The following is a 15,357-nucleotide window of genomic DNA, read 5'->3' on the forward strand; positions in this document are numbered from 1 at the left end:
GCCATTCTCCTGCCTCAGCCTCCCGAGTAGCTGGGACTACAAGCACCCGCCACCGCGCCTGGCTAATTTTTTGTATTTTTAGTAGAGACGGGGTTTCACCGTGTTAGCCAGGATGGTCTCGATCTCCTGACCTTGTGATCCGCCCGCCTTGGCCTCCCAAAGTGCTGGGATTACAGGCGTGAGCCACGGCGCCAGGCCGTGCATCTTTAAAATCCCTCTTCCATCTTGACATTCTGCCAATTTCTTCAATTCTGAAACTTGAAGATATTCTGTTGGCGAGCATTGACGATTTGGTAGTGACTTTGGGCAGCAAATTCTTTTCTTTTCTGTCTTTCTTTCTTAAATATCCTGTGCTTGCTGCATCCCCAGGCCTGGGCGGCAGAAGGAGGAGCCCATCCTCTAGCTGTGCAGGAAGTAAGGGGTAAAGCCCATTCTCCATTTCATCCTTAGGAGCTAACTCCTAATCTTGTGTTGCCCGCAGCCCTAAGTGTTCTTAAGTGTCCTCAGCCTAGCCTGGGCTCCTGAAATGGTGATGTATTTTGCATGGAAAGGGTTTCTTCTATAGGTGACTCTGGGTTAAAAGGAGGTTTCTTTCCTGCAGGACTTATCAGAGCCTTTAGTTTGCTGATGTGCATTGTGGATCTCTAACGGAGGACTCTGTGATCCCTTTGGTTTGGAGCTGGGCATGCCCTCAGGCTGGCGTTCCCAGGTGCATTTGGTGTTAGGCTATAGAGGGACCCCTTAAGAGGAGAAAAGAAGAAACTGGTCAGGCAGGCAGTTAGGGTGGCTCCTCAGTTGAATTTTTTCTTTTCCTTTTTTTTTTTTTTTTTTTTTGAGATGGAGTCTTGCTCTGTCACCCAGGCTGGCGTGCAGTAGTGCGATCTCAGCTCACTGCAATCTCTGCCTCCCGGATTCAAGTGATTCTTCGGCTTCAGCCTCCCAAGTAGGTGGGATTATAGGCATGCGCACCACGCCCAGAAAATTTTTGTATTTTTAGCAGAGATGGGGTTTCACCATGTTGGCCGGGCTGGTCTCAAACTCCTGACCTCGTGATCCACCCGCCTCAGCCTCCCAAAGTGCTGGGATTATAGGCATGAGCCACTGCACTTGGCGGTTGAATACTTTCGAACAAAAGAACAGCCAGCAGGCACAGATATGGGAACTTGCACAGGGGAGTTGCCTAAGACATGCCCACAGCTACACAGGTAAGAAAGTCTACACAGGTGACTTGCCCAGACATGCCTGCCATGGAAAATTTCATCCCCTGACACATGCGCAGTAAGGGGAACAAAGCAATATGGAGTATCTCAAGCCAAGAGTCCACATGCGCATTAGGAGGACAGGGTGAAGCTACCCGAAATTCACACCCTATGCAAATAAGATGCCCAGCCCACATTGGTTTCTTGTAAAAGCGTTTGCATTCAACTGCAAAAACAGCAACCCATTCGGCCCCCTCTCTGTGGCTGAGAGCTTTCTTCTTTTGCTTGTTAAACTTTCCCTCCAACCTCACCCTTTATGTCAGGCTCCTTAATCCTGTTGATCCTGAGACAAAAAACTCCAGGCGATACCTCACAATGAGAGACTGCGACATTGTGGTGCATTGGCAAGACTCTAACACTCTGGTGAGGGTTGAAGCAGGGTAATACCTCAGTTGTTTACCGTCACTCCCAACTGGTCGGAGATTTTTACTCAAGTCTAAGACCCCTCTCCCTCACTCTCAGGCCAACTAAACAAAGCGGCCAAGTGTTTTATACCCTCCTGGCCAGAGTCCTCCCTGGAGTTCACAGGGCTGCCTTCTGCCCAGCACCCACTCCTGCCAAGGGTATCCCCTTGTCTCTCATAGCCTGGAGGGTGGCCTGCCCAGGGCCACACAGCTCCTTGGCACAGGCCCCCTTGCTGAGCAGCTACCCTACAGAAGGTCTCCAGGCTGTGCTGGCAATTCAGTGGGCATGGGGTGCTCTGGCCAGGGTTTGGTGTGGGGCAGCTGCCAGCCCCATCCAGCCCAGTGGTGCTTCTTGGCCCTGGCTGGACCCAGTGTACCATAAACTCCGTACACCTTCTTAGACATCACTGGTTCCCTCCCTGTCCCACATCCTCCTCCAGCCCTGCTGGGACTGTCTCCCTCACCTCTGACCTCACATCTCCCTCACACTGTCTTCTCTGGCTCTCCAGGGATCAATGTCCATTTGGCAAATGACCCTGGTCCTGGCCCATTCCCTGTCCTCCCACCTCCTGGCCTTGGCTGAGGCCTTTGCCCCTCAGTGTGCAGGAACCAGGCAAGTGCCCTTTTTGCCATCCCGCTAAAAGTAGAGGATACAGAAGAACAAGGAATCCAAGAGAACGAGGTACTGGACTTGGACCTCCCTGGTAGGTGGCGGTGACTCCAGCAAGCTCTAGAGAGGGGGCTGGACATGTTGTCCCTAGGAAGACCTGCTGTCACATGGCTGAATGGAGTACTTACTGGCCAGCTGGCCTGCTCTCAAGCTTGGGGTCCTCTATAGCACACCCTACCCCAACTCAAGGGTCCTTGAACCCATCACTCAGGCCCTGGGCCCCATCCCTCAAGGGCAGTTGCCTGCAGAACTCTGCTCAGGCATGGGCATGGATTAGTGCCTGGGTCTGAAGTGCCCCCCAACCCTCTATGGGCACAGATGTGGGACCACCTGCCCAGCTTGGAGGCTGGTGAATCAGGCATGTCTCCGCTTCAGGAGTTCTCCCAGGACTGGGTTCAAAAGGTGTCTTCAGCAGCCCTGGGCACTGCTGCCCTGGAAGATGCTCCTGTGGAAGTGGCCCACTGCAGGGCCTTGGACAAAGTGGACCCCTGACTGAGGCTGTGAACTAAAAACAAAATTCTAAGCACCCCCAACCATCTGAATGGACCCCTCCTTTCAGCCAAGGACATTCCAAAGTTAACCTGAAAAACTAGTTCAGGCCATGACGGGAAGCAGGGGATTTGGACATGCCTCAGCATACCCTCCTTCTTTTGGAATTTAGGCACAACTGACCAGCATTGACATTAAAACAGAGACTACGTGTGTGTGAGACAGGGTCTGGCTCTGTTACCCAGACTACAGTGTTGTGGTGCGATCATGGCTCGCTGCAGCCTTGACCTACCAAGATTAAGTGATCCTCCCACCTCAGCCTCCCAAGTAGCTGGGACCACAGGCACACACCACCACATCTGGTAATTTTAAAATTTTCTTGTAGAGACAGGGTCTCACTATGTTGCCCAGGCTGGTCTTGAACTCCTAGGCTCAAGTGATCCTCTTGCCTCAGCCTCCTAAAGTGTTGGGATTACAGGCATGAGCCACTGCACCCAGCCTAAAACAGAGATCTCAAGGCCTTTGTAGCAATAAGACACTAAATTCCAGGCTGACTCTAGTATAGCATCATGACAGATAGCAGGCCCTGAAAGAACTCAAAGTATTTTACCCTAAAATATATTTCTTTGACATATTTTGGAATGGTCCTTTACAGCTGTCTGTTGTGGGGAAAATCTACATTCTGTAGAGAATCCCTTTCCCTTTCCAGGTCTTTTCCCTGATACAGGAAAGAATTAACTAAGAGTCTGGCACCTTTTTATGTCTGATAAGAAACATTTACAATCTATTCTCTCTGAAGCTGTCCACCTGGAGGCTTCATCTGCATAATAAGAACCTTGGTCTCCCAACTCTTATTTTAACCCAGACACTCCTTTCTATGGATTTCAGGTCTTTATTTTTTAGATGGAGTCTCACTTTGCCGCCTAGGCTGTAGTACAGTGGTGTGATCTTGGCTCACTGCAACCTCCGCCTCCCAGGTTCAAGCAATTCTCTTGTCTCACCCTCTTGAGTAGTGGGGATTACAGGAACCTGCCACCATGCCTAGCTAATTTTTGCATTTTTAGTAGAGACAGGGTTTCACCATGTTGGCCAGGCTGTCTCGAAATCCTAACCTCAGGCAATCCACCCACCTCAGCCTCCCAAAGTTCTGGGACTACAGGTGTGAGCCACCGTGTCTGGCCAGATTCCAGGTCTTTAGATGAACTCTTTCAACCAATCGCCAGTCAGAAAATCTGTGAATCCACTTATCATCTGGAAGCCTCCCCTCCCCGCCCTTCAAGATTTTCTGCTTTTCCAGGCTGAGCCAACAACAGTGTGAGCCACATGTTGTCAGGAGCTCCTGAGCCTGTGTCACGGGCATGTTATTGAAAACATCGACAAGTCTCAAACTGATTGAGACTTGTCTCAGATACTTTTTGGTTCACAAGGTCCCTTGGACAAGGCTTCCACCGTTGAGATTCTTTCTCAGCTGGAGAGAGGACCAGAGTCCTGCTTCCCAGGACTGGGGAGAGGATTGAATGGGATGTGTGGAGTCTCTTGGACCCCAGTACTCAAAGTGTGTTCCAAGCATGGGCTGCAAACTGTTGGCTACTGGCCATACCCAGAGGGTTCAGAAACGACAGCCTACATTTAGACCTAATTTTAGCAGTTTGAAAGAATCAATGTCTGTCTACGGAATTTAACAATTAAAGAAAACTTAGGGCTTGGATTTTGCATGTCATTTTAAAATTTCATTTTTTGGCAATTCATTTTTATTGCCTTGTATGAAAGTACAGGTCTTCAATGGATTGAAAAATTTAGCAAGACAGCAATGAGCCCTTTGTCACAGACAGATTTTGGGTTTTATTCTTTGTATGATGTGAAGCCATAGAGAGATGGGTGAGGGTGGCATGGGGTGTGTTACATTCAAGGCCTCTGATGAGGACTGGGGAACAGAGGAGGTTTTCTGGGTCTCCTCCTTCTGTGAGACAGGAATTGTTTTGAATCTGAAACTGCCTTTGCAAAATTATGACTAAGACAGTGAAAGAGATCTAACTTAATCAACTCCATCTTGCTTCTAACCTCTAAGCTGTCCTTGATCATTCCTGGGCGCAGGCTGAACTAACTTTCGGATAAACTTAGTTTATAATTTATAGTTTAAACAAAGACTATAACAGCCCTTTCCCAAAGCCGACCTCCTTCTTGCCGGGGGACTAGACTGCCTTTGTAGGACTAACATTAGCCACAAGATTAGAAATTACGGTTTAGGAGTCAGGCAGCTGGAGGCTACAAGATTCTGACCCTCCCTAAACTGCTCCTAAGAGCAGTGCTTGAGATATTTTGCAGAACCTGCACTTGATGGATCTGCTGGTACCACCCAGATCAATACACTGGCTCATCTGATCTTGTGACCCCCACCCAGGAACTGACTGAAAACAGGATGACAGGTCTGACTCCCTGTGATTTCATCCTTGACCAATCAGTACTCCTGGCTCACTGGCTTCCCCCCACCCACCAAGTTATCCATAAAAGCTCTGCTCCCCGAATGCTCAGGGAGATTGATTTGAGTAATAATCCGTGTGAATTATTCTTTCTCTTTGCAATTCCCCTGTCTCCATGAATTGGCTCTGTTTAAGCAGCAGGCAAGGTGAACCCCTTGGGTGGTTACAAATTTCCATGTGGAATTCTGCATCCAAGCAGATTCCAAACACAGCCTATGTGAGCGTACATGAAACTTCCCTGGGTTCCAGCAACACTCTCTGGGAAATGGAGGTGCTGTAGCCTCAAAGGGAGCCAAGCGTGGTCCTAGTGCTTCGGGCCCAGGGAGAGGTGAGAGCTGCTGTCCCCTGAGCCGGGGGCGTGCCTGCTACTCAGTTGCTCTGAAGAGTGGGAGACTGCAGTGGGGGAGCTTGGTGAAGGAGGCTCCTGCCTGCAGCTCCAACCACACATGGTTAGACAAGGAAGCTCAGATAACCAAGGGGAGTTTGCAGAAGTTCTTCTTAGCTCCACTCTATCACCTGTTTGTGCCTTAGGCAGGCACAAACCGTTGAGGCTGTGCTCCTCAGCTTCACCCTCACTCTTCCTGTGGCTCGCTTGCGAAGTATCAAAACATGTTTAAATTGTGAAAACATTTAATTCAAAATTAAATTTCAAAATCATAGACAAGACTGATATAACAGACAAGTGAAGACCCACAATTCTGTTTTACAGATGTTGTGACTTTACATGTGTACTTATATATATTTTTCTCTCTTAAAAGGAGGGAAGGAAGAAGGGAGAAAGGGAGGGGGAGAGAGAGAGAGAATGAACATTACTGAGGACTAAACTCTGACCTTTTTTCTCTCTTGCCCAAATTCCTATCTAAGGGACTGGGGAGTCATGCCTTACAGACCATAAAATCTCATCAGTTGGGTTTCATTTAACTGTATATAATGTGACTTACTTTCCAACCTGACTATGGCATAACATCACATGACAGATAAAGAAGGAAATCGGCCAGGTGCAGTGGCTCACACCTGTAATCCCAGCGCTTTGGGAGGCCAAGGCAGGTGGATCACTTGAGATCAGGAGTTGAAGACCAGCCTGGCCAACATGGTGAAACCCCGTCTCTACTAAAAATACAAAAATTAGCCAGGCATGGTGGTGGGCACCTGTAATCCCAGCTACTCTGGAGGCTGAGGCACAAGAATCAGTTGAACCTGGGAGGCGGAGGTTGTAGTGAGTCGAGATTGTACCACTGCACTCCAGGCTGGGTGACAGAGCGAGACCTCTGTCAAAAAAAAAAAAAAAAAAAAAAAAAAGGAAATCAAAATATTTTACCCCAGAATATGTTTCTTTGCCATATTTTGAAATGGCCCGCCATCTTTTGTGGGGGAAAATTTGCAGCTGTAAAGAGTTCTATTAACATAATAGAGCTTTCCCCTTCTAGGCCCTCCCACTGCTGAAGAGATTAGCTGAGAGTCTAGCACCTTTTAAAGACCTGAACAGGAAACATTTGCCATCTATTGTCTCTAAGGGTGGCCACCTAAGAGACATCATCTACATAATAAGAACTTTGAACTTCACAACTCCTTATCTTAACCCAGACACTTCTTTCTATTGATTCCAGGTTTTTGATAATAACTCTTTCAACCAATTGCCAACCAGAAAACCTTTGTATCCACCTATGTGACCTGTGGGCCACCCTCCCCACAATATGTCCCCATTTCCAGGCCGAACCAGTGTATACCTCACATGTATTGACTGATCTTTTACGTCTCCCTATAATGTATAAAGCCAAGCTCTAACCCAGTGCCTGGGCGCATGTTCTCGGGACCTCTTGAGACTGTGCCTTGGGCCATGATCATTCATATTTGGCTCAGAATAAATGTCTTTAAATGTTTCACAGAGTTTGACTATTTTTGTCAACATTATAGATACAGCTAACCATCTCCACTTTGAAGAGATGTATGTATTTATTTTGGATTTCCCTTGTTTTAGATTTTTCTATAAATAGTGTACTTACATTTATTTTTTTTTTTTTGAGATAGGGTCTCACTCTGTTGCCCAGGCTAGAGTGCAGCTCGCTGCATCCTTGACCTCCTTGGGCTCAAGTAGTCCTCCCACCTCAGCCTCCTAATACCTGGGACTACAGGTGCACTCCACCACACCTGGTTAATTTTTTGTATTTTTCATAGAGATGGGGCTTCACCATGTTGCCCAGACTCGTCTCAAACTCCTGGACTCAAGCAATCTGCCCGCTTTGGCCTCCCAAAGTGCTGGGATTACAAGTGTGAGCCACCACGCCTGGCTAGTGGCTTATTTTTTAATCCAGCAGTATGTTCTGAGGTTTATCCATGTTGATACAGGTGGCTTGGTTCATTTGTTTTAAGTGCTGTGTAGTATTTCATTATGTGAATAAACAAAAGCTTACCTATACTGTTTTGAATGAACTGTTTGTTGTTTCTGGTCTTCTACAGCATGAATGTGAATGTGAGCATTTTTGCACATTTCCTTGTACACATGTGCTAGAATTTGTCTAAGGCAGATGGGTACAATTGCTGGGCTATCCTATTATTAATCGTATTTAGGATCTTGAACTTTGACTCTTGACTTTATGTGTCTTTTAGCAACAACAAAAAAAATGTAGACAGGGATAAAAGTGCAAGGCAGAATCTCATTTTTCTTCTCCTGCATGAGTACTTGGAGGTCTTTCCTGGAAGAGGGACTGTTTTGGCCAGTGGGGCCTCCAAGCAGCAGGCTGCTGAGGGATGGAGCTCAAGGGTCCCCAGTGTCCCCAGGGATTTGCTCACTGCCTCAGGATTCCACGCTGTGCACCCCAGTTGGTCTAAGACCAAGGGAAGAGCTTCAGAGCTGGGAAGAGCTGGCCAGCCAAGGACAAAGGGTCAGATCTGCCTTGTACAAATAGAGGGCCAGGCGAGATGACCCTGGAAGACTCGTACATAGTGCAGTTTGTGTTTGTTTTTCCCACAGGGCAGCTGGTGTGTTTCAACAAACACGGTGCAGAGGGGTGCTGCTTTCGATTAGGAAACCGGGAACCGACACTGAGCTGCTGCGTCAATGAAGGGCCTAGTGTGCAACGAGATAGAATGAAAACAGCCCACTGTATGCTCATGTGATTTCACGGCTGTTTCCTAGTACTTCTTTAAGAATGGCTTCCTTAAAGCCAGAGGTATTGTCTTTCATTCTTCCACCAATAATTTTACTTCTTAAGTGAGGGCTTTTATAAATAGGCCTTAGGGCAAACTGTGCCATCAAGGTTCTTAACTCCTACAAGTTTTTGTAGGAGTTTGGCATGCACCACTGTTACAGGACAGGGGTCCAGATCCAGACCCCAAGAAAGGGTGCTTGGATCTCGTGCAAGAAAGATTTCAGGGTGAGTCCACAGTGCAAAGTAAAAGCAAGTTTATTAAGAGAGTAAAGTAGGCTGGGCTCGGTGGCTCACGCCTGTAATCCCAGCACTTTAGGAGGCCGGAGCGGGCAGATCACGAGGTCAGGAGATTGAGACCATCCTGGCTAACACAGTGAAATGCTGTCTCTACTAAAAATACAAAAAATTATCCGGGTGTGGTGGCAGGTGCCTGTAGTCCCAACTACTTGGGAGGCTGAGGCAGGAGAATCGCTTGAACCCGGGAGGTGGAGGTTGCAGTGAACTGAGATCGCGCCACTGCACTCCAGCCTGGGCGACAGAGTGAGACTCCATCTCAAAAAAAAAAAAAAAAAAAAGAGTAAAGTAGTGAAAGAACAGCAGAACAGCTACTCCATAGACAGAGTAGGACGTTCCCAAAAGTAAAAGGAGGAACACGTCCACCCTAGGTGTGATACTCATATATACGGAGAGATGTGTTCTGCTACAAGGGTTTGTGATAAAGGATTTATTTTCTTAATTATTATATTTTGCAGGAATCAATATTATCATCTTTAAAGCAAAATTAGGAATCCCTTTGTTCTCCAGATATCCAGATATCTGGACACTCCCAAGTCTGGGTCTGTTTAGTAAACATTATTAATTTGTTGCCATAACTGTAAACATCTAGAGACGAGGAATGCCTAACTTTCTGAGAATGCAGCCCAGCAAGTCCCAGCCCCATTTCCCCAGCCCTCACTCAAATGGAGTCGCTCTGGTTCAAACACCTTTGACCCCACCACAGCATGGGATCACCTCAGATAGGGGGAGGAGGTCACCTTCGTCCTTGGGCTTGAAGTAATGCAGTGTGAGGTCCTGTAGGAATGGCTGTGCGTGTGCGGGTATAAAGGAGGTGCTGTTTTTCAGTCTGGACCAAAATCGAAGTGATTCTCCCCTCCTCCCCTTTTGCTGAATTCCCTGCTCCCAGACCCTACCCATTGCAATTTCAAGGCACCAAACATACAGCAGTACACTGGGCACAGGTGAACAGGTGACATCAAATTCAAGAACAACAAAAGCCTGTTCCTTTTCAGAGCTTATCAGCAAGAACAGTGTGGGCCAGCTTTGTGCTGGGGAGGAGGAGGTCACGTGGAGCCACCTGGCCCGGGCTGCACGGCCAGTGGCATGTCTCTTGTTTCTGCCAAATGCAGCAGTGCATTTGCGAATGTGAACTTACACAAGAACATGGGTATGTGCTGTCTCTAAAAATAATGCTGACTCTCACACATGCGCACAAAAGCAGATATATGCGCCTGTCCCCCACTGAGCCCCAAGGATGGATCTTTCCCATTTTGGAATGGAGGCGAGCTTTAACTCTTTATTGTTATTATTTTTTAAAGAGCCTTTTATTTTTTCTATTTGCATTTTCAGGTTCATGAGATGTCAGAGACTTGCAAACACCTGGTTCAACATCTGCTTCTGCCCCATTTTATGGACGGGGAGACTGCAGCCTGGTGAGCTGGGTATGGATGGGAAGCAGTTCCCGCCTAGGGCTCTGTTTTTAGCCCAGATAAATAACCTCTCTGAGTGTGGTCACCTGGCTCACACTGCTTCAGCGGCTCCGTTCCCAGCTCTGGGGTACTGGTGGGCATGTCGTGGGTGCTCAGTAAGTGCCAGCTGGGGGGCTGTATCCTCCCCAGCCCACACAAGGGCTGCACCTACTGCCGCTCTGCCAGCTCCCTTGCTGCCTCCCCCCACCCTTCTGTGCACAATGGGCAGCCCCCTGGAAGAAGCAGAGATCCCCACTGAGCCCTCAGGGCATGCAAGTGGTGTCCAGAGGCTTCCGGTGTGGTCTGGGCTTGCCTCCCACTGCATGCGAGGGGCAGTCAGGGAGTTAGGGTGAGGTGGTGGCCTGCCCAGTCTCCTTGGGCTCAAGTGGTCCTTTAAGGCAGCCCTGGGTGCTCAGTTCCCAGGCTGGCTCAGAGTCACCTAGGAAAAGCACACCTAAGATTCAAATCAGCATGTGCTGTGGGAGGTCCTGTCTGGGGTTCCTGGGAGAGGCCGTTCCCCACAGCTGGTGCCTAGTCCTGGGAGCCTCTTGCCCTCCCAGGTTCTCACTTAGGGCCCCTCTGGCCCTCCCTCCTGTTAGATGCTGCTGCCTGCTTTCCTCTGCCAGACCCCATCCCCTAAGGGCGAGGCCCAAGCCTGAGTCATCCCTGGGTCCCCATGGCCCACACAAACATCTGATGCAGAACAGAGGGTGAGCTTGAGTCCAGCAGAGAGAACTAAGGGGCACCACCCTCGTGGGGAAAGCAAGAGATGCAAAACTCCGCAACTGCTGACTCTGGAATGGTGAAAGGATTTGTGCCACTCAGACGCCTCCCGGGTTTGCCACAGCCACTCGAAGGTGGGAGCAACTGAGACCACAGGCGTTGGACACCGTGGCAGGAAACATAGGGCACCTTCTGAGAAGGGACCCTGACGTGAGAGCTCTGAACACCCCATGCCCCATGCCCACCCAGCACAGTTTGGGAGGACAGGACCCGCTGGGCCAGCACTCTGAGATGACAGAGCTGGAGACCAGTGTCCCTCTGCCCTTCCGCCCAGCTGCCCGCAGGCCACTGGCAAAGCTCACTCACCTTCTGCGACCCTGATGTGGAGCTCTTGAGCGAGCCCCGCTTGAAGGAGCTCATCTCTCTCAGTGAGCCTGTGAGCCACCCTGCTGACTCCCTCGGGTGGCCAGGCCAGTGGCACAGGGGCTGCCCTCCCTGGGTGGGCAGGAGCGGAGCCACACACTCGGCGGCAGCCCCACACTCGGCGGCAGCCCCACGCACTGGGCGAGGGGGCCGAGATCCTGGGGCGAGGCCGGCCGGAGGCTGGTTCAGCCTAGGAGGAGCATGTGCTGGCTTTTGGTGGCCCCTCCTGCCCGACTCCTGCTACCACCCCCAACATCTGTAATCAGGCTTAATCCCTCCATCCCCAAAAGGTTTAGAGGGAAGAGATTTAGCAAATGGAGATTGAAAGTAAATCTACTTTGAGAAAGTGGTGGCTGCAAAGGGTGGTCAAATGGGAAGGATTTGGGCGTCTGGAAAGGCGCATTGCGAGGGCAGACAGCCCCTTGCTGCTGGCATCTGAGGCCCCTTGGAGGGTGGCATCCAGATCCCAGAGGCCCGGTGCCCACCTGGCCAACCGCCTGAGTCTCAGAGAAGAATTTGCATCCAGGCCCAGGCTGTGGGTCTCAGCTCTCTCCTTGGAGCTGCCAGTGCGCATTTTCGCCCCGTTAATCTGGCAGCGACACAGCAAGCCTTCTTCTGAAGATCCTGTGGCCGGTGGCCCGTCTGTTCTGTGCTGCTCTGTGTGTGGGGCTCTCTGTGTCATTTCTGATTTCAGGGGTGCCTGTCTTGCCCCTCTTAAAGGCAGATGGGGTCATGGGTCTTTGCAGCACAAGCCTGGCCTGAAGTGTACCACCCTTGCTGCCGACCCTCCTCTGTCTCTTACAGGCACATGCATGTCACCTCCCACATGCAAGGGAACAGACTGGAGCTCAGAGAGAACAGGCCATGTATTCCCATCGTCTTAGATAGATTTTTATCTAAGGACCAGCAAGCTGAAAATAAAATAATAGAAGGCTGTGGAGCCCTCATAGCTGTGAGGCCAGGACCCACCACCTCCTCTGGGAGGCCTGTCGGCTGTGGAAGTTTGGAGGGTGGAGGCATGACCTCCACCTCTTGGGGTCTGGCTTACAACCAACACATCTCTTATGGTGCGGGGCCGGCCCTCTGTTCCCCTCTATCTCTCACACCCCTGAAGTGAATTCAACTGATATATTTTGAGCTGGTACTATGGGCCACATATTGTATACATCAAGTGCTAGGGATACATCTGGGAACAGCAGGGGAGAGTCCCTGCCTTCCTGGAACTGACCTTATCATGGGGAGGCAGATGCCTCGAGCAATAAACTATATAGCATGCCAGAGGGTGTAAGAGCCAGGCAGGGAAAGAAAGCAGAGAGAAAGGCCGGGCTGGGGGCGGTGGCAATTTTAAATAGGAAAGGTCTCTGAGGACCATCCTGGCTAACACGGTGAAACCCCGTCTGTACTAAAAAACAAAAAATTAGCCAGGCGTGGTGGCGGGCACCTGTAGTCCCAGCTACTCGGGAAGCTGAGGCAGGAGAATGGCGTAAACCCGGGAGGCGGAGCTTGCAGTGAGCCGAGATCGTGCCACTGCACTCCAGCCTGGGTGACAGAGTGAGACTCCGTCTCAAAAAAAAAAAAAAAGAAAAAGGAAAGGTCTCTGAGAAGATGGCTTTTGAACAGAGACTGGGAGCAGGTGGCTGGTGAAGGAGCCCACTGGGCAGGGATGTGGGAGGAGGATTTCCAGGCAGAGGCAGCAGCCAAAGGCCTTGACTCTGGAGCCTGGCTGACATATTCAAGGAAGACCAAGAAGGCACAGGCGGCTGGGAGAGGGGATGCAGGGATGAGGGCAGCTGCAGAGGCAATAGTGCAGGACCTGGGAGCCATTCTAAGCACCTTGGGGTTCGTTTCTGATTATGATCTGATGTGCAGTTTGAAGGGACCACCGTGGTTCTTAAGGTGCACTAGCCAGCGGGTCCAGGGCTGCAGTGGGAACCTTGACAACCTGGAACAGGGTGGGGCCAGAGGAGTGATGGGTGGAGGTCTGACTCTTGAGAGTGTTGGAGGGTGGAGTCAAGAGGATGTGCAGGAGGGTCAGATGTGGGATGTGTGAGGAGGACAGACATCAGGAAGCTGCAAGGCTTTGGGCCGGGACTGCCCGAAAGATGGGGTCACCTGAGGTGACATGGAGAAGGCTGTGGATGGGGTGGGCTTGGGGGAGGGGCCACGCCTTCTGTGTTGCTAAACATAATGGCTTTTTCCAGTCCTAATTTTCTGAGGCCTCGCAGAGGATTGGATGCAGCCGATGCCTCATCCTCAGGCCGTCCCAGTTTGCCTCCTTGTCCTCAGGCAAATCCTCAGCACCCTGCGTGGTCTGACATCTTGCGTCTAACTGGAATTGTTACATTCCTTGAGGCTCTGTGCAAGCCCTCCTTTCCTCTCACTGGACCCTGGGTGACCTCCCCCTCCCTGTCAGCTCCGTTACCATGGGCACCCTCCTGCCCTGACCACCCATCCGGGGCTCTCTGCACCTCGTACTGGGCTTCCAAGCTGGCTCCCCATCGAAGAACCCGCCTCAAATGCAGCACTTCCCCACCACTCTCTGGTCCACTTCTTGCCCTGGTCTTCCTCTAGGTTTCCTGTCTCAGTGATGGCTACCCCATCAGCAAGACAGGAAGCCTTCATGCTCTGGGACTCCATGTCCTAGCCACCTCTGTACTGTGGTCTCCCAGACAGCTGTCTACACCTATGCAAAAAAGGGTAACTTTAAAAAATGCAGATCTGGTCAGGTAATGTTCCTGCTCAAAGCCCCTCAGAGCTCAGGACTGACTCAGATCCTCACCTGCCTCTAAGATGCTGCCTTTGCCCGCCTCCCTGCCGTGGCATCCTTTGCCCTTCTCCCCTGCCATGCTCCTTGGGCAGCACAGCGTTCTCTTGTCCTCAGCAGTACTGAGATGCTGGCCATGGCATGTGTGTGTAACGTTACTTGGCTAACCTGTGCCTCCTATCTCTGGGCCTCCTGGCACCTGTCCTGGATCTGTTGGGCTCACCAGTTCTATCATTTCTTTGAGTTTCAGAGCATTGCAAAAGTATGGAAATGCTCCAAACTTGTCTTATGAAGCTAGTACAATCCTAACACCAAAGCCAGATCAGGAGAGGTCACCTTAGACCAGTTCACTGGTGAAAACAGACACAAAACTTAGAAAGAATACAGTAACGGCTGGGCACAGTGGCTCACCCCTGAAATCCCAGCACTTTGGGAGGCCAAGGCAGGGGGATCACTTGAGGTCAGGAGCTCGAGACCAGCCTGTAATCCCAGCTGCTCCAGAGGCTGAGGCAGGAGAATTGCTTAAACTTGGGAGGCAGAGGTTGCAGTGAGCAGAGATCATGCAACTGCCCTCCAACCTGGGTGACAAAGTGAGACTCCATCTGAAAAAGAAAAAAAAAAAAAGAATATGGGAACAAGTTGAATCTAGTGCAGTTCTAAAAGAACAAGACCACATGACCAGCACAGGCAACAGGCATACCTTATTCTCAGGAACGCAAGGATGACTCAACACTGGAAAATCCATTCATGTAATTAAGCATATTAACAGATTAATGAAGAAATGCCCTGTGATCATCTCAATAGCTGCCAAAACCATATGGTCCATCTCAGTAGAGCCAAAAAAAAAAAAAAAAAAAAAAAAACCACACAAGAAAAAGAAGTCTAAACCAAAAACAAACAAAACCCCAAAATATTTGACATTTAGAAACAATTCCTTATTAAAATAGAAACAAACAAAAACTCTCAGCAACCTAAGAATACAAGGAAACTTCTGTAACTTGATGGCAGATACCTCCTAGAGGCATCCTGCAGGCATCCATGATAATTGGTGAAATATTAGAAACAGTTTCATAAAGATCAAGGACAGAATAAAGCCTGCTGTCTCCATAGTTTTATTCAACATTTTCCTGGAGGTTCTAACCAATGCAGAAATATAGTAAGACAAGAAAAAGAGGCCAGGCGCAGTGGCTTACGCCTGTAATCCCAGCACTTTGGGAGGCTGAGGTGGGCGGATCACCTGAGGTCAGGAGT

At 49.9% G+C, this 15,357-nt stretch overlaps 1 protein-coding gene across 1 annotated transcript in view, besides 5 other annotated features; it reads right to left on the reverse strand.

Annotated features, from left to right (window-relative positions):
- The window catches only part of TRPM1 (transient receptor potential cation channel subfamily M member 1), a 160,096-nt gene extending 148,556 nt beyond the window's left edge, over window positions 1-11,540 (reverse strand). The window contains exon 1 of the mRNA NM_001252020.2: window positions 11,286-11,540. Within this exon, the coding sequence (NP_001238949.1) occupies window positions 11,286-11,339 (54 nt within the window). The 5' untranslated portion in view covers window positions 11,340-11,540. The remainder of the gene's footprint in view (window positions 1-11,285) is intronic.
- Window positions 590-1,789: an enhancer, noted in NCBI's record as "MED14-independent group 3 enhancer chr15:31442413-31443612 (GRCh37/hg19 assembly coordinates)". NCBI's record gives its function as "activates an origin of replication core promoter dependent on BRD2, BRD4, P300/CBP and CDK7 cofactors, and independent of MED14, by STARR-seq in HCT116 cells {active_cell/tissue: HCT116}" and the evidence as "EXISTENCE:reporter gene assay evidence [ECO:0000049][PMID:35650434]".
- Window positions 590-2,157: a biological region, named in NCBI's record as "MED14-independent group 3 enhancer GRCh37_chr15:31442413-31443612".
- Window positions 890-1,523: an enhancer, noted in NCBI's record as "NANOG-H3K27ac-H3K4me1 hESC enhancer chr15:31442713-31443346 (GRCh37/hg19 assembly coordinates)". NCBI's record gives its function as "activates a minimal SCP1, AML or CMV promoter by ChIP-STARR-seq in primed H9 embryonic stem cells {active_cell/tissue: H9 hESC(primed)}" and the evidence as "EXISTENCE:reporter gene assay evidence [ECO:0000049][PMID:30033119]".
- Window positions 1,524-2,157: an enhancer, noted in NCBI's record as "NANOG-H3K27ac-H3K4me1 hESC enhancer chr15:31443347-31443980 (GRCh37/hg19 assembly coordinates)". NCBI's record gives its function as "activates a minimal SCP1, AML or CMV promoter by ChIP-STARR-seq in naive and primed H9 embryonic stem cells {active_cell/tissue: H9 hESC(naive and primed)}" and the evidence as "EXISTENCE:reporter gene assay evidence [ECO:0000049][PMID:30033119]".
- Window positions 9,323-9,969: an enhancer, noted in NCBI's record as "H3K27ac-H3K4me1 hESC enhancer chr15:31451146-31451792 (GRCh37/hg19 assembly coordinates)". NCBI's record gives its function as "activates a minimal SCP1, AML or CMV promoter by ChIP-STARR-seq in naive H9 embryonic stem cells {active_cell/tissue: H9 hESC(naive)}" and the evidence as "EXISTENCE:reporter gene assay evidence [ECO:0000049][PMID:30033119]".

This window comes from Homo sapiens, chromosome 15 (genome assembly GCF_000001405.40).
Source record: "Homo sapiens chromosome 15, GRCh38.p14 Primary Assembly".
In the NCBI taxonomy this organism is placed as follows: Eukaryota; Metazoa; Chordata; class Mammalia; order Primates; family Hominidae; genus Homo; species Homo sapiens.